Consider the following 25,865-nt stretch of genomic DNA (forward strand, 5'->3'; position numbering starts at 1 on the left):
TTAAGTGCTACCCTTTAAAAATTATTGATGACAGAAAAAAAAAATTCCTTCCTTCTTCCTCAGGAGGCAATTCCTAGTTAGTAATAAGAGGATTTTTTTTTCCTTTTTTTCTAAGTGCAAAATCTTCCTTGTAACTTCCTCATAACAATTGCCTTTCCTGAACATGAGGACAGGGTTCAGTGATAAGTGCAGGAACGCAGGAGAGGTAGGGCGGAGAAAACTCTGCTTCAGGAAGGGAGAGATAAAGATGGCCAAAGTCCCTGTACTGGGTAGAGAAAGCTGAGCCAAACAAGGCCAAAGTCTGCATGGGGAAGATTAAGACAGCAACCCAGAGGGCAGCAGGGAGAGTTGTTCGGGGAGAAAAGATACTTTTAATAAGATTATTTGCAGTAAATACTGTGCACTATACAATGTAGACTATGCCCTTTGTTCCTTATAGAAAACCTAGACTGTAGAAATTCTACATTCAAGAGTAAAATATCTATTTTTTAATAGTGTGTGGAAGAGTCTGTTTTCTTTTGGAGATTTCATTCGAAGATTGCGACAAGAAGGGTATAGCTCCTGCCCTTGGGGCTCAGCTACATGTTGGCTACACAAAAGTATTAAATTCTCATGGTAAATTTTCTTCTTTTTTTTTTTTTTTTTTTTTTTTTGAGACAGAGTCTTGCTCTGTCGCCTAGGCTAGAGTGCAGTGGTGCGATCTCAGCTCACTGCCAGCTCCATCTCCCAGGTTCACACCATTCTCCTGCCTCAGCCTCCCGAGTAGCTGGGACTACAGGTGCCCACCACCACGCCCGGCTAATTTTTTGTATTTTTAGTAGAGACGGGGGTTTCACCGTTAGCCAGGATGGTCTCGATCTCCTGACCTCGTGATCCACCCGCCTCAGCCTCCCAAAGTGCTGGGATTACAGGCGTGAGCCACCGTGCCCAGCCAAGGTAAATTTTCAAAACATACAAAAACACACAAAGTGAAAAGTGAAATTTTCACTCCCCCCTGCCCCCCGATTCTGATTAATTACATTGTTCAGAGTTAACCTATCCACAACTAATCATTTGGTGCTTTAATGTTTTTCCTAAGCATTTATGGACATGTATGATTGAATATTTGGCTCAAAAAGTATTCAAGGTTGAAAATAATTTTCCTTTAAAGTTTTGATGGTATCGGTCCATTGCCTAGTTCTTCTTTAGCATGTTAAAATTAATTTTTGAATTACATGCTTGGGCTATGAATTCAAAAGGTAAAAAGTATATAAAATAAGTCTCTTCACCACTGATCCTGCCATCTGCTTAGTTCCATCACTGGTTGTAACTACTGTTACTGGTTTCTTTTTCTTTTCTTTTCTTTTCTTTTTCTTTCTTTTTTTTTTTTTTAATGAGACTGCGTCTTGCTCTGTCGCCCAGGCTGGAGTGCAGTGGTATGATCTTCGCTCACTGAAACCTCCACCTCCGAGGTTCAAGCAATTCTCCTGCCTCAGCCTCCCGAGGGGTTGGGGCTACAGGCATGCGCCACCACACCCAGCTAATTTTTGTATTTTTAGTAGAGACGGGGTTTCACCATGTTGGCCAGGCTGGTCTCGAGCTCCTGACCTCGTGATCCGCCCACCTCGGCCTCCCAAAGTGCTGGGATTACAGGCGTGCGCCACTATGCCCAGACTTTTTTTTTTTTTTTTTTTTTGAGACAGGGTCTCACTCTGTCACCCAGGATAGGGTGCAGTGGCGTGATCTCAGCTCACTGCAGCCTCTACCTCTCTGGAGCAACGATCCTCCTATCTCGGCCTCCAGAATAGCTGTGACTACAGGTGCACACCACAAACCCAGCTAAATTAAATATTTTTTTGCAGAGACAAGGTTCTGCTACATTGGCCAGGCTCAAACTCTTGGGCTCCAGTGATCCACCCATTTTGGCTGCCCAAAGTGCTGGAATTACAGGTGTGAGCTACCGCGTCTGACCAAAATTGCCATTTTTGAAGTTAAAAAAAATCAGCAATTCCATGAGATTCAATCTAACATATGTGTATAGCATATGCTTATGCACATAATTTTTAATCACACTGATGATAGCATGCTATATACACAATAGATTTCTCACTTAACAATTAATCCTGAGATCTCCCCATATCAATATATATAGAGCTGCCTCATTCTTTTTTTTATTTTGTGCCTATTTATTAGTTTTCTTGGCTAAATATTGTTATTCTAAAATTTACATGCAGAAAAATTGAGCTCCATTTTTGATTTACAGCTCTATGAGTTGTAATGCATGCATAAATTTGTGTACCCATTACAATCGGGAAACAGAAATAAGTCAAATATATCAGTGTAACCTCCAACAATGACCAAAACAAAATATTATCAGTGCTCGAAAATCTCCTCTGAAACCCTCATCTCCATTGCTATGCCTTTCCTATACCCCAAGACAATATTTTCCTTTACTTCTAACACAATAAATTAATTCTGGCTTATATGGAATTGTATAGGGAATCATGTACACTAAAACATCCTTTCGTTTGTCTTTTTTCTGTTCACCATGATGTAAGATTTATCTATATTGTCTTATGATTACTATAGAGCAATGAATTGCACCATATTTCATTATATTATAGTATTTTTGATAAGCAGAATTCAAAATAAACTTTTGCATAGATTGACAAACTATTTTTATTTATGGTTTCTGGATCTTGTGTTACACTTAGGCCTTTAGCACTCCAAGATTATAAAATTCTCTTACATTTTCTCCTAGTACTTTAATAATTTCTTTCTTTCTTTCTTTCTTTCTTTTTTGAGACAGTCTCACTCTGTCGCCCAGGCTGGAGTGCAGTGGCGCGATCTCGGCTCACTGCAAGCTCCGCCTCCCGGGTTCACGCCATTCTCTCGCCTCAGCTTCCCGAGTAGCTGGGACTACAGGCTCCCGCCATCATGCCCGGCTCATTTTTTGTATATTTAGTAGAGACGGGATTTCACCGTGTTAGCCAGGATGGTCTCGATCTAGTGACCTTGTGATCCGCCCTCCTTGGCCTCTCAATGTGCTGGGATTACAGGCGTGAGCCACTGCGCCCAGCCAATAATTTCATTTTTTTCAAACTTAATTCCCACCCCTACCCCGCCACCAAAAGATATCAACCTATTACCCAAATACTCATTTAATCCTTACAGGAATTATAGTGGATACAATTGAGAGGTGACAGCGTGCTGGCAGTCCTCACAGCCCTCGCTCGCTCTTGGCACCTCCTCTGCCTGGGCTCCCACTTTGGTGGCACTTGAGGAGCCCTTCAGCCCACTGCTGCACTGTGGGAGCCCCTTTCTGGTCTGGCCAAGGCCGGAGCCGGCTCCCTCAGCTTGCAGGGAGGTGTGGAGGGAGAGGCGCGAGCGGGAACCGGGGCTCCGCGCCGTGCTTGCGGGTCAGCCGGAGTTCCGGGTGGGCGTGGGCTTGGCGGCCCCGCACTCGGAGCAGCCTGCCGGCCCTGCCGGCCCCGGGCAATAAGGGGCTTAGCACCCGGGCCAGCAGCTGCGGAGGGTATACTGGGTCCCCCAGCAGTGCCAGCTCAAGAGCGCTGCGCTCGATTTCTCACCGGGCCTTAGCTGCCTTCTCGCGGGGCAGGGCTTGGGACCTGCAGCCTGCCCTGCCTGAGCCTCCCACCCTCTCCATGGGCTCCTGTGCGGCCCGAGCCTCCCCGATGAGCGCCTCCCCGATGAGCGCCGCCCCCTGCTCCACGGCGCCCAGTCCCATCGACCACCCAAGGGCTGAGGAGTGCGGGCGCAAGGCGAGGGACTGGCAGGCAGCTCCACCTGCAGCCCCAGTGCGGGACCCACTGGGTGAAGTCAGCTGGGCTCCTGAGTCTGGTGGGGACGTGGAGAATCTTTATGTCTAGCTCAGGGATTGTAAATACACCAATCGGCACTTTGTATCTAGCTCAAGGTTTGTAAACACACCAATCAACACCCTGTGTCTAGCTCAGGGTTTGTGAATGCACCAATCGACACTCTGTATCTAGCTACTCTGGTGGGGCCTTGGAGAACCTTTGTGTTGACAGTCTGTATCTAGCTAATTTAGTGGGGACGTGGAGAACCTTTGTGTCTAGCTCAGGAATTGTAAACGCACCAATCAGTGCCCTGTCAAAACAGACCACTCCACTCTACCAATCAGCAGGATGTGGGTGGGGCCAGATAAGAGAATAAAAGCAGGCTGCCTGAGCCAGCAGTGGCAACCTGCGGGGGTCCCCTTCCATACTGTGGAAGTGTTGTTCTTTTGCTCTTTGCAATAAATCTTGCTACTGCTCACTCTTTGGGTCCACACTGCTTTTATGAGCTGTAACACTCACAGCGAAGGTCTGCAGCTTCACTCCTGAAGCCAGCGAGCCCACGAGCCCACCGGGAGGAACGAACAACTCCAGATGCACCGCCTTAAGAGCTGTAACACTCACCGCGAAGGTCTGCAGCTTCACTCCTGAGCCAGCGAGACCAGGAACCCCCCAGAAAGAAGAAACTCCGAACACATCTAAACATCAGAAGGAACGAACAACTCCAGATGCCCCACCTTAAGAGCTGTAACACTCACCATGAGGGTCTGCGGCTTCATTCTTGAAGTCAGTGAGACCAAGAACCCACCAATTCCGGACCCACAATTACATGTCTTAATTTTAGAGATGAAGACACTGAAACATACAGAAGTTATTTTCCCCAATCACAAATAATAAATGGCAAAGCTGGCATCTGAACACAATCAGTTGACTTTAATGTTAATCTGCTTATTCATTACTCTATCCAGCCTTTCCATGGGAACTCATCACCATTATCAACATTACTGGCAAGCACCTCTTTTTTTTTAAACTACAACGGAAACACAGTATTTAAATGTTTGCAAGAGTGAATTAGGTTACTTAGGAGTCTAATTAGCAAGTAGTTACTTAGTAAGGAGTAGGGAATTTGACACCTTCTCATTTCTATCTCATGAACAGTTCTGTCTCTTACCAAGGGACCTCATTCTTGAAATAAGATTTACTTCTGAGCCCAGTGTTGTTTTCTCTTCAAATGATTGCTCTGATTCCATTTTTGAGTCATCAGCCATGTAAATATCTCTGGAACGTGTCATGTAAACAAATGCAGAACTGTTAAAAATTAAGTTGGGCCGGGCGCAGTGGCTCACGCCTGTAATCTCAGCACTTTGGGAGGCCGAGGCGGGCGGATCACGAGGTTAGGAGATCGAGACCATCCTGGCTAACACAATGAAACCCTGTCTCTATTAAAAATACAAAAAATTAGCCGGGCGCAGTGGCCAGTGCCTGTAGTCCCAGCTACTTGGGAGGCTGAGGCAGGAGAATGGCGAGAACCCAGGAGGCGGAGCTTGCAGTGATCCGAGATCGCGCCACTGCACTCCGGCCTGGGTGAAAGAGCAAGACTCCGTCTCAAAAAAAAAAAAAAAAAATTAAGTTGAACAGCTTAAAAATATTAGCAAACTGTGACTCAGAGAAGTGAAGGAAGTGTTAAACACAGCTGGAGACCAGGAAAGAGGGCAAGAAGTCCTGGAGTCACTTTCTAGTTCTATCACTGAGATCATATTACTATGGACAAGTCATTTTTTGGTTCTTTGTGTCTATTTGTCAAACAGAGCCAATAAGAGTAAGAAGTAGCTCTTCACTTTTCCATAGTTTATTTACTTTATGCCAGTAATGGGCATTAAATTAACAACAAACATTTGTTTAAATTTTTAAATTTTAAATTAAAAAAAAATTTTTTTTTGAGACGGAGTCTTGCTCTGTCACCCAGGCTGGAGAGCAGTGGTGCGATCTCAACTCACTGCAACCTCTGTGTCCCAGGTTCAAGCAATTCCCCTGCCCCAGCCTCCCAAGTAGCTGGGATTACAGGCATGTGACACCACGCCCGGCTAAGTTTTATATTTTCAGTAGAGATGGGGTTTCACCATGTTGGTCAGGATGGTCTTGAACTTCTGACCTCATGATCTGCCCACCTCAGCCTCCCAAAGTGCTAGGATTACAGGCGTGAGCCTGTAACAACAAACATTTTTAAAAACCCTCTAAAGATAAGTTATACCAGGCTGAAAAGTTGGCTAAATTCCAGAGAGTCTAAGTTTAGACTCTGATGTGTAGAACTTTCTTCCATGAGAGGTTTTCCAACTGTTTTATAATTAAAATTTACATAGCCTTACAATATTCTCCTGTAAAAGTAAATATTAACAACATAACATTTCGAAGCTTTCTAATGAAGTATATTAAAACAATATAGTAATACAAATATTTCAATTTCTACATCTTTGTTACTTGTTACAACAAAAGTCTCTCTTCTCCCACCTCCATATCTTGAGTAGAACTGTAATGAAAGGAAGTAAGAGCTGGGGTCATAAAATATGTGACACCTACCCTAAATTCAACTCATTCCCCCCTCTCCCCCAACTCCCATCCCGTAAAACCCCTTGGAAGCATAAGCATCAAGATCCCCAGGGAACTGCAGTCATGCTGTCCAGGCTGAGACCAGTAACAAATGGAGAAGTGTCCCATAGCAGAGAGGTGATTTAGCAAAAGTAAAGAGACAGTGAGAAGAACACATAACTTGGAAGATGAAGGACTATTTTACTTCCCTAAATATACTTAGAGGGAATTGTCCCTTAGGGGAAAAGGAAGAGCAAATATCTGGGTTACATGAATTGTGTAATACAATGTGAAAGAACTATGATAACATACACACTTAAGATGACGTTTTAACATTGCTTATAATTAAATAAATGGAAACTACAACAAAAGTAAAATACGATTCACCATCTTTTTGACTGACAAAAAATTAAAAACATATTCATAAGGGCATTTCCCACACTATCAGTAGAAATATAAATTGCTATACATTTTGGAGATCAAGTTGGCATTAATCATGCTCATTGGATGGAACTCTCAATTATACTTCTAGAAATCCATTATTTTCTTTTTTCTTTTTTCTTTTTTTTTTTTTTTTGAGACGGAGTCTCGCTCTGTCGCCAGGCTGGAGTGCAGTGGCACCATCTCGGCTCACTGAAACCTTGGACTCCCTGGTTCAGGTGATTCTCCAGCCTCAGCCTCCCGAGTAGCTGGGACTACAGGGGCGCACCACCATGCCAGGTTAATTTTTGTATTTTTAGTACAGACGGGGTTTCACCACGTTGGCCAGGAGGGTCTCAATCTCCTGACCTCGTGATCCACCTGCCTTGGCCTCCCAAAGTGCTAGGATTACAGACGTGAGCCACCACTCCCGGCCAGAAATCCATTATTTTCTACAGAAACATACACACTAGTATACAAACATTTATTTATAAAGTTGCTCACTTTAATAGTTTTTTATTAGCAAAAAACAGGAGAGAAGCTAAATGCCTACCAATTAGAAATCTTAAATTATAATTCATACATAGTATAAAATACTATGCAGCCATTAAAGGGATTGAAATACATATACTGATTAGAAATGATATTCATGGCATATTAATTGAAGAAAGCAAGATATGGATTTTGTATAATCAATTTTTCATAAAACAAAACTAAATATATTTATGTATAATTAAATGTATATATTTCATATATTTTATGTATAGATAATTAAATGTATATATTTTATAAATACAGAAAAATTAAAAAAACGAAAAATGAATTACTAATAGAGGTTATTTGCAGGAACCAGATTACATTTGTTACAGTGAGCATATTACTTTTGTAACAAAAGAAGATAAAAATTCAGTGTGATACATACATTAACAGCATGTAAGACTGAGGCTGTATAGAGGAGAGCATGATTAACTCCACTGATATGTGTGTGTCGGGGGTGGTTTGGGGAGTGGTATTAGAGAATGCTTGAAAGAGATTATGAAATATGAGCACAGCATTGTCCAGGGTAGAGAGGCAAAGTGGAAAAGGAAGAAAGGTACAGTCAAGGAGGACAATGAGTACACTGCCGTACTCATGATTTTCACAACTGCTCTATATAATTTGTAGACCAAAAAAAAGAAAGGCAAGCACGTATATAAAAGCAGGTTGTGGGCCAGGTGTGGTGGCTCACGCCTGTAATCCCAGCACTTTGGGAGGCTGAGGCAGGCGGATCACCTGAGGTCAGGAGTTCGAGACCAGCCTGGCCAACATGGCAAAACCGTCTCTACTGAAAATACAAAAATTAGCGGGGCGTAGTGGCATATGCCTATAATCCCAGCTACTAGGGAGGCTGAGGCAGGAGAATCGCCTGAATCCAGGAAGTAGAGGTTGCAGTGAGCCGAGATCATGTCACTGCACTCTGGCCTGAGTGACAGACTGAGACACCATCTCAAAAAAAAATAAAATAAAATAAAAGCAGGATGTGGCTAGGTGTGGCGGCTCACACCTGTAATCTCAGAACATCAGGGAGGCTGAGGCATGTGGAACACCTGAGCCCAGGTGTTGGAGACTAGCCTGGGCAACACAGTGAGACCCTGTCTCTCTCTCTCTCTCTTAAAAAAAGAAAAAGCAGAATGTGCCAAGGGAACCCTGAGTTAATTTGACATTTCTGGAACTTTGAAGTGTGAAGAGTGGCCAGGGTTTAGTAAGAGGGAAAGCAGGAGCCAGGCTGCTGAGGGCTTCTTGTACTGCCTGGTAGCACGAACACTGTTATGTAGGACAAGGTGACCACTGATGGGGTTGCAGCAGGAGAGTAACATCAGCTATGTGGAAGATGGATTGGAAAGAAGCAAAACTGGAAACTGGGGGGCCATTTAAATGATAAGCTATAATGAAGACTGAAACTAGTGGCGGGGTAAATTAGGAAAGCAGATGGATTTCAGAAGTATTTCAGAGGAAAATACACAAGACTTAGTGATTCTCTGGATATGGGTGATGTATAGAGAGAGATGTCTTGATTGACTTCCAAACTTTTGGCTTTGGTAACTGGGAAGATGGAGATTACACCAGCCAAGGTAGAAAATATAGATGAAAAAACAAGCTTATGAAAAGGAGAAGCAGCAAGAGGGTAAGAGGAAACACAGAAGGGACAAGCCTGATGGTGATGGTAGAGGGGTAGTAGCAGATGATTTTGTTTTTGGAGATGTTGAAGGTGAGATGCCTGTGGGCCATTAAGGAGGGCCATTAAGGGAAGTTGCCCAGTTGGCCATTAAGGCAAGTGGATGTATTAAGATTAATTGTTTTTTTTTCCCCCATTGGTAGTGTATTTAAAAAAACAAAACCCTGGCATAGTGGCTCACTCCTGTAATCCCAGCAATTTGGGAGGCGGAGGTGGACGAATCACTTGAGGTCAGAAGTTTGAGACCAGTCTGGCCAACGTGGTGAAATCCCGTCTTTACTAAAAATACAAAAATTAGTTGGCTTGGTGGCACAGGCCTGTAGTCCCAGCTACTCATGAGGCTGAGGCAGGAGAATTGCTTGAACCCAGGTGGCGGAGGTTGCAGTGAGCCGAGATCGCGTCACTGCACTCCAGCCTGGGCAACAGAGTAAGACTCTGTTTAAAAAAAAAAACAAAAAATACTAACTCTGTAGAAATGTAGTGTCAGGCCCTGTACTAGCACTGACTGGGATGCATGACAGACATAGTTCTTGGCCCTGCTCAACCTGAGAGCCCAGTGGAGATGCTATAGTCTAGAGCAGGGGTGTCTAATCTTTTTGCTTCCCTGGACCACACTGGAAGAATTGGCTTGGGCCACACATAAAATACACTAACAATAGCTGATAGCCCCCCCCAAAAAAATCACAAAAAAATCTCATAATGTTTTCAGAAAGTTTATGAATTTGTATTGGGCCACATTCAAAGCCATCCTGTGCCACATGCAGCCTATGGGGCCGTGGGTTGGACAAGCTTGATCTAGAGCTCAGGGGAAAGGTGTAGGCTGGAGTTCTCAACATACAGAGGGAGAGCGTTATGAGTGAGAATTAAACTCTTAGAATTGATAAGTTTCATTTACTGTGAATTGTACGCTTTACGCATATCATCTCATTTGAACTTCACAACAATCCTATGAAATAGTATTAAATTATTAAAGATGAGGAAAATGAAATGCAGAGAGCTAAGACTCAGAGGTCACAATCTGGCCTTTGGGCTGAATTTTATTCTAAGAGTTGTTTTGTTGCGTTGATTTAAAAATGCCTCTAGATGTGTTCACACTGTCATTTGTTACCTTCCTACATTTTCCATTGTCTTAAATCCTATGTATATGTGCTTTACTCATAACCTCTTGTTCCCTTTAGGCATTTGATTTTGTATACTGTGGTTTGCTTAAGTGCCAAAGGTTAAAGAACTAGAAAATGGATGACTTTTTTTATTTTTTATTTTTTGAGACAGAGTTTCGCTCTTGTTGCCCAGGCTGGAGTGCAGTGGCACGATCTCAGCTCACTGCCACCTCTGCCTCCCAGGTCCAAGCGATTCTCCTGCCTCAGCCTCCTGAGTAGCTGGGATTACAGGCATCTGCCACCATGCCTTGTTAATTTTTTTTGTATTTTTAGTAGAGACGGGGTTTTGCCATGTTGGCCAGGCTGGTCTTGAACTCCTGACCTCAGGTGATCCACCCGCCTCGGCCTCCCAAAGGGTTGGGATTACAGGCATGAACCACCGCACCCTGCCTAAAAATTGATGACTTTTGTGTAAACCAAAGACTGTGCTCTTAACCATTATACTATACTGTTGTGGTTGGCAGGTACAAGGATTCTTGATAAGGGTTAAGAAAATGCATTGTGTGGTGACGCAAAAGGACTGATGATACGTTTCTGGTCAGAAAGTAGGAAATCAGTTGAAGGTTTCAGATGTGTATTGGTTCTTGACTAGAAGCATTTTCTGACATGCTATTTTGTTAAATCTAAGGCTTGGAAAGCAATCTGAACCCCTAGCAATTATGTTATTCTGAAAATTTTCTGAAACATGGAGATAGTATTTGCATTTTGTGCAATTGGAAGGGGTGGAAGAATGACAGTTGGTCTATAACTACTAGAATTGCTTCTTTGTGTTGAAAAAGGTGGGTACTAGTTCCACTGGGAAAATAAATTCATGAGGCCTTTGATCATTATGACTGAAATGCAAGCCTGTTTTAAATATCCTGCTCTGCGGTGAGGTGTGCTAATCCTTGAGCAGCTAGATAGGAAATGAGTTCAAATTACTAACAGAAAACGGGGGCAGGCCGTGTGCTTCAGCTGGATTGGTGCAGAATTCTGAGAAGTGGGCCAAAGCCTGAGACTACAAAAGGTGATTTGCATCCAAATTTGTGCCACCCAGAGGAGCTGAAGAATTGAGTAATTTCTAGGTTTAAGAGCAGTCAGAAAGACTGCTCTTTCCGACTGAAAGAATGTTAATTTGCAGAGACCTGAAGCAGAATGTGGCTGTGAGGAGGTTTAATGTTTTAACAACATTGTGTTACATGTGATGAAGGGTTTCAACCCTGTCTCCTTTTTTGTGTCCTGGCAAAGCTATCCCTTTTCACATAATTAGCACTCTTCTGATGTCTTTCTCTAAGTGATATCTTGGATCCTTTTTATTTATTATTTAGAATAGTTGGCTTTGATAGGGCCCACATATATGTACAAACACAGATATATGCATATATATGTATACATATAAAATTGACAAACTTTGATGCAAAATTGTGAAAATTGGGGGGAAGATGTATATTGGGCATCTGGAGCTGAAAGCAGTTGAAGGCCTATTGAACTTCCGTCAGTTGAGAGTTAAGTACTCTTTTTATTTTTATTTTGAGATGGAGTCTCACTCTGTCTCCCAGGTTGGAGGGTAGTGGCACGACCTCAGCTCACTGCAGCCTCCGCCTCCTGGGTTCAAGCAATTCTCCTGCCTCAATCTCCCGATTAGCTTGGATTACAGGCATGTACCACCAGACCCAGCTAATTTTTGTATTTTTAGTGGAGACCGGGTTTCACCACGATGGCCAGGCTGGTCTCGAACTCCTGACCTCAAATGATCTGTCCGCCTCGGCCTCCTAAAGTGCTGGGATTACAGATATGAGCCACTGTACCCGGCTGAGAGTTAAGTACTCCTGAAAAACAAAACAAAACAAAACAAAAAAGCCCAGAAAAAACTCTCAGTAACTATATAAGGCAGTGGTCCCCAATCTTTTGGGTGCCAGGGACCTGTTTCATGGAAGACAATTTTTTCCTGGGGGTGGGGGCTAGGTGGATGGGGAAGGATGGTTTTGGACGATTCAAGTGCATTATATTTATTGTGCCCTTTATTTCTATTATTATTGCATTGTAATATATAATGAAACAATTACACAACTCACCATAATGTAGAATCGGTGGGAGCCCTGAGCTTATTTTCCTGCAACTAGATGGTCCCATCTGGGGGTGATGGGAGACAGTGACAGATCATCAGGCATTAGATTCTCATAAGGAGCATAACCTAGATCCCTCTCATGCCTAGTTCACAGTAGTTCCAGCTCCTATGAGAATCTCATGCCACAGCTGATCTGACAGGAGGTGGAGCTCAGACGATAATGTGAACCATGGGGAGCAGCTGTAAATACAGATTAAGCTTCCCTGGCTTGCCAGAGATTCACTTCTTGCTGTGTAGCCCGGTTCCTAACAGGCCATGGGCTGGTACCCGTTTGTGGCCCGGGGGCTGGGGACACCTTACATACATAAGGTGTTCACTACGAGATATAAGAGGACTTAGCCCAGGTGTTAAGGCAGTGTTCCAGGCCCCACTGTGGCTCTAATACATTTAGGGATCAGAATATGGACTCTCGAGAGCAGGTTGCTCCTATTATTGCTGGTAAACAAAATTTGCTAGAACGTGGAGATCAGCATATACTGTTAGATTCTGATACCGGAGACAATGTAAGCAGTTTCAGATGATATCAAAGGTACAGCATGCAAAAGTGGGTTGCTGAAATGGACCTGAGGATTCACAGGCAGCCAAAGTTCAGGGTTTTAGATAAATGAGGCACATAAACATTAAGATCTTGTAGGATGATTGCAGGTGTTAGGAGTAAATTTGGACTAATTAGGAATCTGTGTCTTCCACTAGGCTGTAAATTCTTTTAACATCTCCAAGGCCTGATAAAGGTTTTTGAATGAATTCGTGAAATACACGATTTCGGTGAAGAAAAGAATAAAGCAGGTGTCCAAACACTTGAGGTTTTACAGTATTGGCATAAAACATTTGGACCCCTGGCGCCTGGTATCAGGGACTTCCCGACGCTGGAAGAGTTCAGGGAAGGGAAGCGGGCCCCTCTGGCACCGAAGACACAGAATCCTAGCTACAGCTACTAAAGAAAAGAACACTATCAATTAGGGCCCGCGTCAGGTTCTCTGGATCTCCCCTTCTCCCATCCTTGACGCTCATCCCTGTGTTCTTTGCGGTGGGCCCGTCGGCCCTGCTGCCATCGATAGAAGCAGCACTCTCCCCGTCTGATTTCGCAGGGCCAAAGCCCAGGTGAGAGTCAGGGTAGTGTTCAGACTAGCCCACGCTCCGGTTCTGAGCCGCGACGGCGGTCTCCGCACGCAACGAAATCAGGCAGGACCGAACCTTGCGTCCTCCAGTGCAGCGAGTTCGGAAGCGACCGGCCGAGCGCGCATGTGCGGGACCCGACATTGTGCTTGTCCCATCCGGTGCTCCGTAGTTAGCCTCTGTGAGCTCCACGTAGGCCGCGCAAGCGCCCTTGGCGCACAGTTCACCTGCTGCCGTTGTCGTCGCCGCCGCGGCTCCCGGGGCTGGATGGGGGGCCGAGGCCAGCCAGTGGCACCCGGAAGAAAGAGACGCGGCGGCGGCGACGCCGACACCCTCAGGACGAGTGTCCGGACTTGCCCACAGCCTCAAGGAGGAGACGGCGAGGCCCGGCCCCCGCTGTCCCTGGTGTAAAGAAGTCGCCGTAGCCGTCGCGGCCGGGACTCCCCGGGCTCTCGCCCTTCAGGTTTCGTTGACACTCAGGACCGTACGTACGCTGCGCCATGTTCAAGAAACTGAAGCAAAAGATCAGCGAGGAGCAGCAGCAGCTCCAGCAGGCGCTGGCTCCTGCTCAGGTACGATGGCCGCCGCTCTCCTCCCCTGGTTCCGAATACCTCTTGAACCGGCCCGCGGACGAAAGAGGCGGGGGGAGTGGGGAAGTTCTTCCGTGACCTTTAACCCCTAACCCGCACTTTTCCCAAACTCCGGACCCAGAAGGAGCTCCGGGCGGTGCAGGTCGTCCGTAACTCCTGACCTGGATTTTCCCATCGCAAAACTTCATCCAGTCAATGAGTGGATGGGGGTGGCTGGATCCCTCGTGACATTCCATCTCCGTTAAGAGTTTTCTCCTAAGGCCAGAGTCCGAACTTGCATGATTTCTGATCCATATTTGAGGTTTTCCCACTCATCTGAGACCCCACGCTGGGAATGAGGGCGGGGTGGAAAAACCCGGGTCCCTTGTGATATCTGACCTCTGCTCGAGGGGTCCCCCTCTCTTTTGCCAGTCGTGAGATTTTGTATGGAATGGCCAGGATCCCGCACAATTGACCCTCGACGGAAGTCTCCTAATTCCAAACCCAGGTCCAGGGATTGAAGGCTGGGGAGTAGAGCCATCCTGGGTCAGGCTGCTGGTAGGAGCGGTGGGACCTGAAAGACGTGGCGGCGTGGCCGGCGTCCAGCGCCCGAGGCTGTCACGAGTTAGTCACTTCGCATAACTTGGTTAATCCGGGACTGGCGGGCGGAGGGGCAGACACTCTGCCTGTCCGGAGCTCTGCTCTGCTTTTTAAGTCTTGCTGCTCTGCGGACAGGGTTATGCTTGTTTTTCAGGAATGCTGTTGCTTTAGGAAATGCGTTTCCAGGGAAAAGGAGGCGTGTTAAGTAGTATTAATTTAAAGAAACAATTTCCTAAGCGTTCACTGGAGATGTTTCGATGCTGGCAGCACAGGGTCTTAACAGCGAAGACGTCGGTTTCTGCTTAATTTCTTCCCAGCCTTTTTGAATTTCAACAGACTGAGCAGATCTGTCCCTTAATTTTAGGGTTTTTGGTCTTTGCTTGCGGTTGCAAGAAAAGCTGAGTTTTGACTAACTTGGAGGCATTTCTAAATTCTTAACATACAACGATTGCATTAGGTTTATTCTGAAACTATAAATTGAAGTTGTTCTTTTTAAATGTAAAGCTCATGTGTAGTAAAACAGTGCTTGAGAAAAACATCAGAACACAACACTGAAGGGTTGCTTCTTTTCTCAAGTGCAAATGGTAATTAAAATTTAAATGGTAAAGATTGTCCTTTTCATACCATCTATTGCAGTCATTTACAATTTTACAAAACACTGTTAATTAAGAAACAAAGATAAACTTTAAAAGTGAGGTAGAGATGAGGAATGTGAGGAAATGGGCATGTTAGTGAATGTAAGGCACTTCCACTTGGGAATGTATAAAATGTAATTGAGCCAGGATTCCATTTCTAGAAATTTATTCTAAGAAAATTTAGGTTGTATTAAAGATTTAGCTCTATGGATTTTCACGTCAATGTTGTTTTAATAGGTTAAAAACTAGCCAAAAATGTCCAACAATAGAGAATTGGTTAAATTTTATCAGGCAATTAGTTATGCTTCATAGGTTATTATGCAGCCATAAAAAGTCAACATTTACTGTGTCATTAGTATGTACCAGACATTTTGCTTAGTATTTACACAGATTATTTAATCTCACATAAACCTGTGAGGTAGATAATACTATAATTCCTCTTTTATAGATGAAGGAGTGAGGCTCGAAGAGGTGAAGTAACTTGCCTAATGTTACGCAGCTAGTGTTAGAGTCTTCAGAAAAGTATTAACACAGAAGGATATTTGTGTTAAAAGACAGAAGCAGCAGGTAAAATGTGATCCCAGTTTTGGGAAAAAGAATCTGTATGTAAGTGTATTTATATACACACATAGTAAAACTAGTTTAAGAAGAATATACTTTAAGGTGCTGGTGAATTATTGAGTGTGCTTTTTCTTATTTGTAGTGTTTAGCTTTTCTTCGTGAAAATGAATTGTTTTTGTTCATTAACAAAGAGGTTTTTAGTAATAATAAGCTAGTCACAAACTAAGATATAAGAGCTCTGTTTCTATAGCTTAATGCTTCTGGTGAGACAGGGCATCTGGATCAAATAAAATCACTTTGTGTACGAAAGGTTTAAAATAATCCTTTTGGATTATATGTATATTCACTATGTTGGCCAGGCTGGTCTCCAACTCCGGACCTCTGGTGATCCGCCAGCCCCGGCCTCCCAAAATGCTGGGATTACAGGTGTGAGCCACTGCGCCTGGCCATTCGTGGTCTACTTTTGATAATTATTTTGTAACCTTTCTTTCTGCCTGCCATATATTTTTCTCCTTGCTTGTGAATTGTTGTGATCTTAGAAACAAAAAATGTGGCCTGGTATGGTGGCCTTACGCCTGTAATCCCAGCACTTTGAATCGCTTGAACTCAGTAGTTCAAGACCAGCCTGGCCAAGATGGCAAAATCCCATTTCTGGCCTGGCACCGTGGCTCATGCCTGTAATCCCAGCACTTTGGGAGGCCAAGGCGGGCGGATCACCTGAGGTCTACTAAAAATACAAAAATTAGTGGGGCGTGGTGGCGCACACCTGTAATCCTGGCTACTCCAGAGGCTGAGGCAGGAGAATTGCTTGACCCTGGGAGGCAGAGGTTGCAATGAACTGAGATCGTGCCACTGCACTCCAGCCTGGGAGACAGAGCGAGACTCCGTCTCAAAAAAAAAAAAAAAAATATGTTTTAACAACAAATACCTATTTTGGATTTTTAAACTCCTTAAAGAACTAAGTCAATAAAAGAAACATCAAGAAGTAATACAGACATTGTAATTTCTTGGGATATATGTAGTACATGAATACAAATATTTTAAAACATTTTTAGCCTTTTCAAGTACTTCTAAAACTTAAAAATTATAGAAGTATAGATACAAAAGGATGAATACATGACTCCACTTAATTGAGGTACCTAGAGTAGTCAAATTCTTAGAGACAAAATAGAATGGTTGTTGCCAAAGGCTGGAGAGAGGAGAGAATGGGGAGTTACTGTGTAGTGGGTACAGAGTTTTAGTTTGGAAAGATGAAAACGTACTGGTGATGGATGGTGGTGATTCCACAACAGTGTGAATGTAGTTCATGCCACTGAATTGTACAGCTACAAATGTTTAAAATGGTAAATTTTATGTTATGTATATTTTTAAAAAATCAACATATACGCCCCTCCTTATGCCTGCAGAATCATCCCTTATTTTTTTCCCTCAGCTCAGAGATGGCAGCTGACCTCACTCTTTTAGAGTGAGACCCCAAAATAATAGTTTATGTGATATAAATTTAAAAAATAAAAACAAAAAAACCAGCAAACAGTTCCACAGATAACAGGGAAAAGAGTCCTTTCTGAAGGGACATAGCCTTATTGTAAATCCAAGTTTACTAAATAGTTTCAGTCTTGAAATTGGGGAAAGCATGAGTCCCAGAGAAAACATTTAGATCAGAAGGTAGTTTATTAAGAACATGATGAAAGGCTTTAATAAGTTTGGTACCTAAAATATAAAGGTTTATTTGAAGAATTAACCCCAAGTTACTTTGACTGCTCTTTTAGAACTGGGATGTCAAATTGATTTGGCAGTGACTTACAACAGTGCTGTGATGAGGATTCAATGGCTGTGTCTCTGCTGTGACTAATCCATAGGTGTTGTAGGGAGAGTGAAATGAACCAGATGTTAGTTATGAACAGTGAATGCCTAGGTCCTCTGCTGGATGTTGCATTTGCTTTGAAGGGTCTATGTAGTCCCTACACAATGGAGTTGAGAGACAAGTACTTTCAGTGTAATAGTGATATATACAGGGTGTTGTAGTTGTGCAAAATAAGGCATTTCTGGAGAAGATCAGGGTGACATCTGAGTAGAGCCTTGATGGATAATGAAAAGTCATGGTATAGGGACAAGGGATTCAAGGCTTATTCCTAAGGATGACTGGATTAGTTTTCTAATATTGCATAACAAGTTACCACAACCTTAGTGCCTAATAACCCAGTTATTATTTTATAGTTCTGTAGGTCAGAAGTCTGGCATGGCATGACTGGGTTCTCTGCTCAGGGTCTTGCAAGGCTAAAATCAATATGTTGTCCAAGCTGCTTTCTCATCTGGAGCTCAGGATCTTTTTGTATGCCCATGTGGTTGTGGTAGAATTCAGTCCTTTCTGGTTATAGGACTGGGGCCTTCATTTCTTGCTGACCACTTTCGGCTTAGAGGCTACCAGCAGCTCCTTGCCACGTGCCCCTGTAGGCATTTTGCTTTCTTTCAGGACAGCAGAAGTACGTCCCTCTGCCCTCTAGACCCATATTTGAAGGGCTTATGTAATTAGTTTAGACCCATCCAGGTAATCTTTTGATGAACTCATGGTCAACTGATTAGTAACCTAGTAACCTTAAATATGCCTTTAAAATCCCTTTGCCCTGTAATATAACAATTATGAGAGTGATAGCTCATTATATTCACAGGGCAGGGGTCATTTGGGGTCATCTTACAGTTTTGCTTATCACAATGACTAAAATGGTTTTTCTTAAGTTTTTGTAGAGTCAGGGTCTTACTGTGTTACTCAGGCAGTCTTGAACTCCTGGCCTCAAGTGATCGTCTTGCCTTGGCCTCTCAAAGTGTTGGGATTACAGGCATGAGCCACTGTGCACAGCTAAAATGGTTTTTCTTACACTGAAATTGAGTATAACTGTGGTCAGTTAATAATTAGGCAGTGGGCAATAAAATATTAATTGTGGGTCTGGATGTAGCTGTCAGGTTTTTTGGTTAACAGCTTAGAAAGCTGACTCAGATTTCTTATGGCTATTGCAATTAATCAGCTCAAGTTTGGTTTGAAGGAACCTAAATCCCTTTATATCTTGAAGTGAGGATAGCCCATTAAGGAACCAGGCACCTGGGACAAATGCTGAAGTACAGTTAGTTCTTTATGCACTGTTATATACTTTATACTCACATCCATTTTCTCATATAATTCTTACTCTTGTAACTCCAGAGGAAGATCCAGAGGAAGATCAACAAGTCATCAGGCCACGTTTTGCCAGATAGTACTACTTTTCTAGGGAGAGTATGTTTTAGAATCTGTTAAACTTTGTAAACCCCGTTATTTGATTTTTTTGTCAGTTTCTCCAGAGCTGATGAGGCTCTCAGTTACTGATTAGACCATATGAGGCCAAGGTGTAAGACGTAATGCCAATTTTTCAGATTTGCAGTGAGGTATACTTTTTAAGCAGTTGGAAGGTCACTGTCTAAGGTAGCCCTTTCCTGGCATCTGGATATTTGGAAAGCTGAATTAATAACCCAGAGATTTCTTAGACATGATAGAATCACAACAGAGAGAGTTGATTAGTCAAGAGGTATTTCCTGTGGTCTAGTAGTACTTTTCTAACTTTTTACCACCCAGTGACCATTTTATTAAAGGAGTTCTTAGATATAATCATTTATAAATACATAGATACAAAAGGCTGCCCCCATAGTGGCAGCCTTTGAGGCACCTACAGCCTTTGAAGCTGGCACTGGCATGGTTTGCAAATTATGGCTCTAGGTGTGGGAAGGGTTTATTGAATTTATCTCAACTTTAATGAAAGCTATTTCTGATGTTCTTTGAACATTTGTAATTTGAACGTGGTGTTCAAGGTAGGCTCAAACTTATTCCAAGACTGAGACTAATACTACACAGTGACTGTGCTTTCCCTTGCCATTTTCTAAGTACAATGTTGACTTTTAGTCACATATTTTCTAGACATTTAAACCATTGCTAAGGCTTCAACTTTATTTCACATTGATTGATTTTCTTGTTTATATGCTTTTTTTTTTGAGACGGAGTCTTGCTCTGTCACCCAGGCTGGAGTGTAGTGGTGCAATCTTGGCTCACTGCAACCTCTGCAGTTGAAGCAATTCTCCTGCCTCAGCCTCCTGAGTACCTGGGATTACAGGCGCACAACACTACTCTTGTTCATGTTTTTAAGTCCTTATTCTTCCTGTTTTGTCTTTGGTGGGAGAGGATATGTCATCCCTTAAGGTGACTTCTGCACATAGCTAATTTCATCTGTTGTATTGATTTTTCTGGTTCATCTTTTAGAAGGTGTTGGAGTTCTTGGTTGTAAGCAACAAAAAGTCAATCTAGGTAAGCAGAAAAATAATTTATTGAAGACTCTTTACCCTACAGAATTTCCCTGAGGTCCCAAAAGTCTGAGCTGATTGCTACGTCCAGTTATACTGGGGAGACTACTCTGTGTTGCAGCTGCTTCAGCTTGGCACCAGCATTGCATCTGTCACTTCACAGCTTATATTTGTGTGGATGCATGAAGTTCTGTCTCCATTGTCATCAGATGATGAACTTTATTTGTATGTCTGTTTTTTCACATCACTCACTTATGACTCGAAGTCTCATGTGTTTCATTGATGGAGCTCAGGTTACCCTGTCTCAGATAAAAAGAAGATTGGGTTAGTAAGTTTTCTGAGTTCTAACTTACGGACTTATAAGAGCTGTTTATAGAAAAAAGGTTATTAAACTTTTGTCATATTTGTAGATGCTTTTCCTCACCTCCCAATTAAACTGCTGCTTTGATTTGTTTTTCACATAAAAATCTCTTTCCCATTCAGAGATTGTAGAAATAGACTCTTGAATTTTTTGTATTTCAATAAAAAAAATTAAATCTTTAATATAGCTTAAGTATGAAGGATCTGATTTGTGTGTCTTGCCCCATATGGATGGCCAGTTGTCCCAACATTTATTGAATGTCTATCCTGATGCAAAATGTTACTTTTATCATAAGCTAAATATGTATATGTCTGTCTGGATGTATATATGTGTATATAGAGTATGTGTATATTTGTATACTATTCCTCACGACCTCTCAGTTCCACCCTAACCACAGCAGTTTGTGCACGGATACCACAGACCAGAGTTCCATTTGTTTATTCATTCATTCATTTATTTGACAAATATTTATTAACTGCCTTTTGTAAAGTGCAGACTACAAAAAGAGGTAAGATATCATGACTCATTCATTTCTCAAAATAGATCTGAGTTCAGATCTATTTTGCTGTGGGTGTAGGGGGATTTCAAAATTTTGGTTTTATACTTTTAGGGTTGTTTTTAGCTCACCTTAGAGTAGACCCCAGACCTCTAGTTTAAATTTTGAGCCCTTTCTCCTGAGTTTTTTTGCGCTGAGGGTTATAGGAGTCAGGCTGTCAATTACAGAGCTAAATGGAATAGCATCTCAGTATTTAGCAGTGGTATTCAAGGTAGGCTCAAAGCAAGGCCATTAATTAGGTGGGCAAGTGCTGTTTATCTGTGCATTTCATACTATTGAATGTTAGAGCTAGAAGGTAGAAGGGATCTTAAAGATTGAATTGCCAGCCTTTTTTTTTTAAATGAACTTCTAATTTTGGAATAATTTTGGTTTATAGAAAAGTTCTAAAGATAGTGCAGAGAGTTTTTATATACCCCTCACCTGGCTTCAGTTTTCTCTAATATTATCATCTTACACTAGTATCGCAACTTTATTTTATATATGGAGACACATAGTCCTCAAAAAGTTCATGTAGCTAAGATCATAGTTCTAGTTGGTGGCAGAGTTAGGCCAGGGACCTAGTAGGTAGCCTGGGTTTTCTAGTTGATTATATTTGTTATCCTTTTCTGCTTTTCGTGTTTTTGCTCTTTTCCTTTCTTTCACTGAATTCTTTGGGCATGGACTGAGAGAAGGACTACCTAGTTCATAGTTCACTAGTCAATATAGTCTTGCTAATTTGTGCAATAATTTTTAAATCTAGGCGTCCTCCAATTCTTCAACACCAACAAGAATGAGGAGCAGGACATCTTCATTTACAGAGCAACTTGATGAAGGTACACCCAATAGAGAGGTAAGTTTGGAATTCCTTTTCTAGTATACCTCTCAAAAGAAACTAATCTAAAATGTATGCTGTTGATAACAAAATGGGAAACTTTTGACAGGTCAGCTATTTAATTCCTAGGTAGAGTTTTTATTAGTAACACAATTGGTCTTTTTTTTTTTTTTTTCACAAATAGCAGTTATGATTTATGTCTGTCTGTCTGTCTGTATGTATGTATGTATGTTTTTGAGACAGGGTCTGGTTCTGTCACCCAGGCTAGAGTGTGGTGGCACGATCACTGCACATTGCAGCCTTGACCTTCTGGATTCAAGTGATCCTCTAACTTCAGCCTCCTGAGTAGCTGGGACTATAGGCGCACGCCACCTGCCTGGCTAACGTTTAAATTTTTCGTAGACGGGGTCCCACTATGTTGCTCAGGCTGGTCTTGAACTCCTGGGCTCAAGTGATTCTCCCAATTATGCTTTATAAAGTATGGTTGTTGAGAACCTTAATTTGAGAGGATAATATGTTCTGGATTTAATAGTTGAAGTTTTCAGAATAATTTGATAAATTTGTTCAACATAGCATCATTTTTTCAAGCTGGTGAGTGGAAACTGAGAAGTAACTTATTTAACTTATTCCATGTAACCAGCAGCTGGCATTAAAACTCATTATTTCCCACTTTTTTTCTGTGAAGTGTAACACACATACAAAAAGAAGGTAAAACATAAATGCACGGGTCAGCAAATTATCATGAAGTGAATCCTCCCAGGTCAAGCAAAGGAACACTGTTAGCACTGTCGTGCTCCCTTTCCCCCTGAAGGATTACCACCATCCTGAATTTTTGGTATTTGCTTGCTTCCTTTTTTTTTTTTTTTTTAATAGTTTTACCTCTTAAATATGCTTTCTAAATGTAAACATTGTAGTTAAACATTTGGGTTGTCTACAGGTTTTGGCTACTATGAATTATGTTGCCATCAACATTATTGTACTTTTTTTTGGTGTACATGTACCTGCATTTCTGTTGGTATGTACTTTGGAGTAGAATCACTGCTCCATTTTAACACATAAGAAGATAATGCTGATGGTTTTCCAGAGTGGTTGTAGAAATTTAAATTCTCACCAGGAGCTTATGAAAGTTGCTTTTGCCCTATATTTTTGAGAGTCTTTATTTTTCTACTCTGTGTAAATATGCTGGAAAACAGTCTTTTTCATTTCAGCTGTTCTGGTGGTGGTCTTTCATTTTGGTTTTAATTTACATTCTCTGATAACTAACGAGATTGAGCATTTACATCTGTTTATTGCCCATTTGATGTCTTTTGTGAGTGCTTAAGTCCCTTGCCCATTTTCTATTGGATTATCTTTTTTTAAAACTGATTTGTAGGAGTTTTTTAAAAAATATAGAATACTAAGGAGTTTTTTGTTGAATATATATCTTGCAGCTATCTTCCACTCAGTGGCTTGCCATTCATTTTAATGATGTCCTTTGATGAACAGAAGTTCTTAGTTTTAGGCCAAGTATGGTGGCTCATGCCTGTAATCCCAGCGCTTTGGAAGGCCAAGGCAGGAGGATTGCTTGAGTCCAGGAGTTTGAGACCAGCCTGGGCAACAGAGTGAGACCCTGTTTCTGCAAAAATAAAATAAAATAAAATTAGCTAGGTATGGTGGCATGCACCTGTGTGGTCCCAGCTACTCAGGAGGCTAAGGCAGGGGCATTACTTGAGCCTCGGAGGTCGAAGCTGCAGTGAACCATGATTGCACCAGCCTAGGTGACACAGTAAGACCCTGTCTTTCAAAAAAAAAAAAAAGCCTGGTTCCCATCCATTTCCCATCCCTGACAGTACCTTCTATCTTAGAAGTTTAACAAAATGAGAAACCGCATAGGGTACAGGGAAATGATGAAAAAATTAATTTAATGTCCTTTTAACCAAAAACTTAATTATATAATTGAAAAATCCTTTATTTATTATAAAATAAGTTGAAGTAAGGTTTAGATTGCACTCTGTGGTCAAAGTACCTGTTAAAGTTGTCAAAAAAGCTTAAAAAGCAAGGAGATGAAGTGATGACAATGCTTTGTCATTCTATCCGAAACCATCTCTTAGCTAGGATTGTTAATATTAAAATTTAGAAAGAAATAAATAAACTTTAGCTGACTTGGTCGATTGTAAAAGAGTGCTAAAACCAAATCTTTCAGAAATAATTATTTTGTAAAGGTATATTCAATTAAATTATTTTAAAGCATCCTAGATTTTTAAAAAGTATTTTAAAAAAGCAATGGTAGCAGTCAGCCGGGCATGGTGGCTCACGCCTGTAATCCCAGCACTTTGGGAGGCCGAGGTGGGCAGATCACTTGAGGCCAGGAGTTCGAGACCAGCCTGATCAATATGGTGAAACCCTAAAAAAATACAAAAATTAGCCAGACGTGGTGACACGTCCCTGTAATCCCAGCTATTTGGGAGGCTGAGGCAGGAGAATCAATTGAACTCAGGAGGTGGAGGTTGTAGTGAGCTGAGATCGTGCCACTGCACTCTAGCCTGGGCGACAGAGCGAGACACAGTCTCAAAAAAAAAAAAAAAATGGTAGCAATCAACATAATTCTGCACTATTTTCAGTGTTTCACTTTATTGTATGCAAACTAATATACTATAATGTCAATCAATATACTGAGTATAGAAATGATGCCATTAATACTGATTGCAAAAACATTACAACTCAGTACTGCAGCTTTCATTCAAATAGGTTATATGTATAAACTGAGTTCAACAATATTGTATTTGAGATGGTAAAGTTAAAGAAATGCAATAATGTAAATAATACTTAAGAAAATAAGATCTCAGGAAACTGTATATACTCTGTACTTTTATGCAACTTTATCAGATCATTTCAGTATATGCATCAAGGATATAGTGTATATGACATGAACTTTGAGTGCAAAAACTGTACTATGTACCTTTTGTTTATTTTGCTGTCAACATCTAAATAAAGGTTTTTTTGTTTGTTTTTTGTTTTTTTAATTGTTTTGTTTTAAAGATTGTTTTAATTAATTAAAAAATTAATTGTTTTAATTAAACAATTGTTTAATTGTTTTAAAGTCGCCAGGCTGGAGTTCAGGGGTGCAGTCTTGGCTCACTGCAACCTCCGCCTCCTGGGTTCAAGTGGCTCTCCTGCCTCAGCCTCCCTAGTAGTTGAGACTATTCGCCACCATGCCCAGCTAATTTTTTGTGTTTTTACTTGAGACGGAGTTTCACCATGTTGCTGAGAATGGTCTCAATCTCTTGACTTCGCGATCTGCCTGCCTCGGCCTCCCAAAGTGCTGGGATTACGGGCGCGAGCCACTGTGCCGGGCCGTATTTTTACAATTTTTAAATTAGCTTATATATTATATATATTAGCTTATTATATTATTATTAGCTATTATATATAATATACATTATATAAATTAGCTTATATATTATATATATAGCTTATATATATTTTAAATTAACTTATACCCTATTATCTAGAAATCCCATTTCTAGAAATCTGTCCTATAGAACAATAGCATTTTAAATGTATATCCACAAGGCTTACTGTAGAAAGCTATTTATAATACTAAAAAAATGATAAAGTTTGATTTGCAATATTAAGGCTTTTTCCAAACTTATCTTTAGACTCAGTGCAATCCCAGTCAAAATCCTTATAGGTTTGTTTTGTTGTCATCATTATTATTATTATTATTATTTTTGAGGCAAAGTCTCACTCTGTCACCCAGGCTGGAGTGCAGTGGTGCGATCTCAGCTCACTGCAACCTCCACCTCCCGGGTTCAAGCAATTCTCCCTGCCTCAACCTCCCGAGTAACTGGGATTACAGGCACCCACCACCATGCCTGGCTAACTTTTTATATTTTTAGTAGAGACAGAGTTTCACCATGTTGGCCAGGCTGGTCTTGAACTCCCGACCTCAGGTGATCCATCCGCCTCGGCCTCCCAAAGTGCTGGGATTACAGGCATGAGTCACCACGCCTGACCTTTATATGTCCCTTTTATAAAGAAGCCTGAGGCACTCCAAACAAAGACAGAT

General features: G+C 41.8%; 1 protein-coding gene and 1 long non-coding RNA gene across 23 annotated transcripts in view, besides 6 other annotated features; one reads left to right on the plus strand and one right to left on the minus strand.

Annotated features, from left to right (window-relative positions):
• Positions 36–491: a transcriptional cis regulatory region, noted in NCBI's record as "candidate enhancer chr3.1280 targeted for multiplex CRISPR interference". NCBI's record gives its function as "positively regulates GOLGA4 gene expression with high confidence in K562 cells {active_cell/tissue: K562}" and the evidence as "EXISTENCE:mutant phenotype evidence [ECO:0000015][PMID:30612741]".
• GOLGA4-AS1 (GOLGA4 antisense RNA 1) lies at positions 12,142–14,546 on the minus strand. Its single transcript, NR_149029.1, has one exon. It is a non-coding gene; the product is annotated as a GOLGA4 antisense RNA 1 (long non-coding RNA).
• Positions 12,821–13,440: an enhancer, noted in NCBI's record as "H3K27ac hESC enhancer chr3:37283961-37284580 (GRCh37/hg19 assembly coordinates)". NCBI's record gives its function as "activates a minimal SCP1, AML or CMV promoter by ChIP-STARR-seq in naive H9 embryonic stem cells {active_cell/tissue: H9 hESC(naive)}" and the evidence as "EXISTENCE:reporter gene assay evidence [ECO:0000049][PMID:30033119]".
• Positions 12,821–14,060: a biological region, named in NCBI's record as "H3K27ac hESC enhancers GRCh37_chr3:37283961-37284580 and GRCh37_chr3:37284581-37285200".
• Positions 13,249–14,043: a silencer, noted in NCBI's record as "fragment chr3:37284389-37285183 (GRCh37/hg19 assembly coordinates)". NCBI's record gives its function as "represses an EF-1alpha promoter that drives an FKBP-Casp9 reporter gene in an ReSE screen in K562 erythroleukemia cells {active_cell/tissue: K562}" and the evidence as "EXISTENCE:reporter gene assay evidence [ECO:0000049][PMID:32094911]".
• Positions 13,352–13,721: an enhancer, noted in NCBI's record as "active region_19673". NCBI's record gives its function as "activates an Ori minimal core promoter by ATAC-STARR-seq in GM12878 lymphoblastoid cells {active_cell/tissue: GM12878}" and the evidence as "EXISTENCE:reporter gene assay evidence [ECO:0000049][PMID:35858748]".
• Positions 13,441–14,060: an enhancer, noted in NCBI's record as "H3K27ac hESC enhancer chr3:37284581-37285200 (GRCh37/hg19 assembly coordinates)". NCBI's record gives its function as "activates a minimal SCP1, AML or CMV promoter by ChIP-STARR-seq in naive H9 embryonic stem cells {active_cell/tissue: H9 hESC(naive)}" and the evidence as "EXISTENCE:reporter gene assay evidence [ECO:0000049][PMID:30033119]".
• The window catches only part of GOLGA4 (golgin A4), a 123,609-nt gene continuing 111,365 nt past the window's right edge, over positions 13,622–25,865 (plus strand). For 19 of the 22 annotated variants that reach the window (XM_005265069.4, XM_005265070.4, XM_005265071.4 and 16 more), the window contains exons 1-2: positions 13,622–13,973; positions 21,746–21,835. In XM_005265069.4, the coding sequence (XP_005265126.1) occupies positions 13,902–13,973; positions 21,746–21,835 (162 nt within the window). In that variant the 5' untranslated portion in view covers positions 13,622–13,901. Of the gene's footprint in view, positions 13,974–15,653; positions 15,773–20,048; positions 20,094–21,745; positions 21,836–25,865 lie in introns of all 22 variants that reach the window. The other 3 variants (XM_047447980.1, XM_024453457.2, XM_047447981.1) reach the window with 2 other exon arrangements.

Source organism: Homo sapiens, chromosome 3 (genome assembly GCF_000001405.40).
Source record: "Homo sapiens chromosome 3, GRCh38.p14 Primary Assembly".
Taxonomy (NCBI): domain Eukaryota; kingdom Metazoa; phylum Chordata; class Mammalia; order Primates; family Hominidae; genus Homo; species Homo sapiens.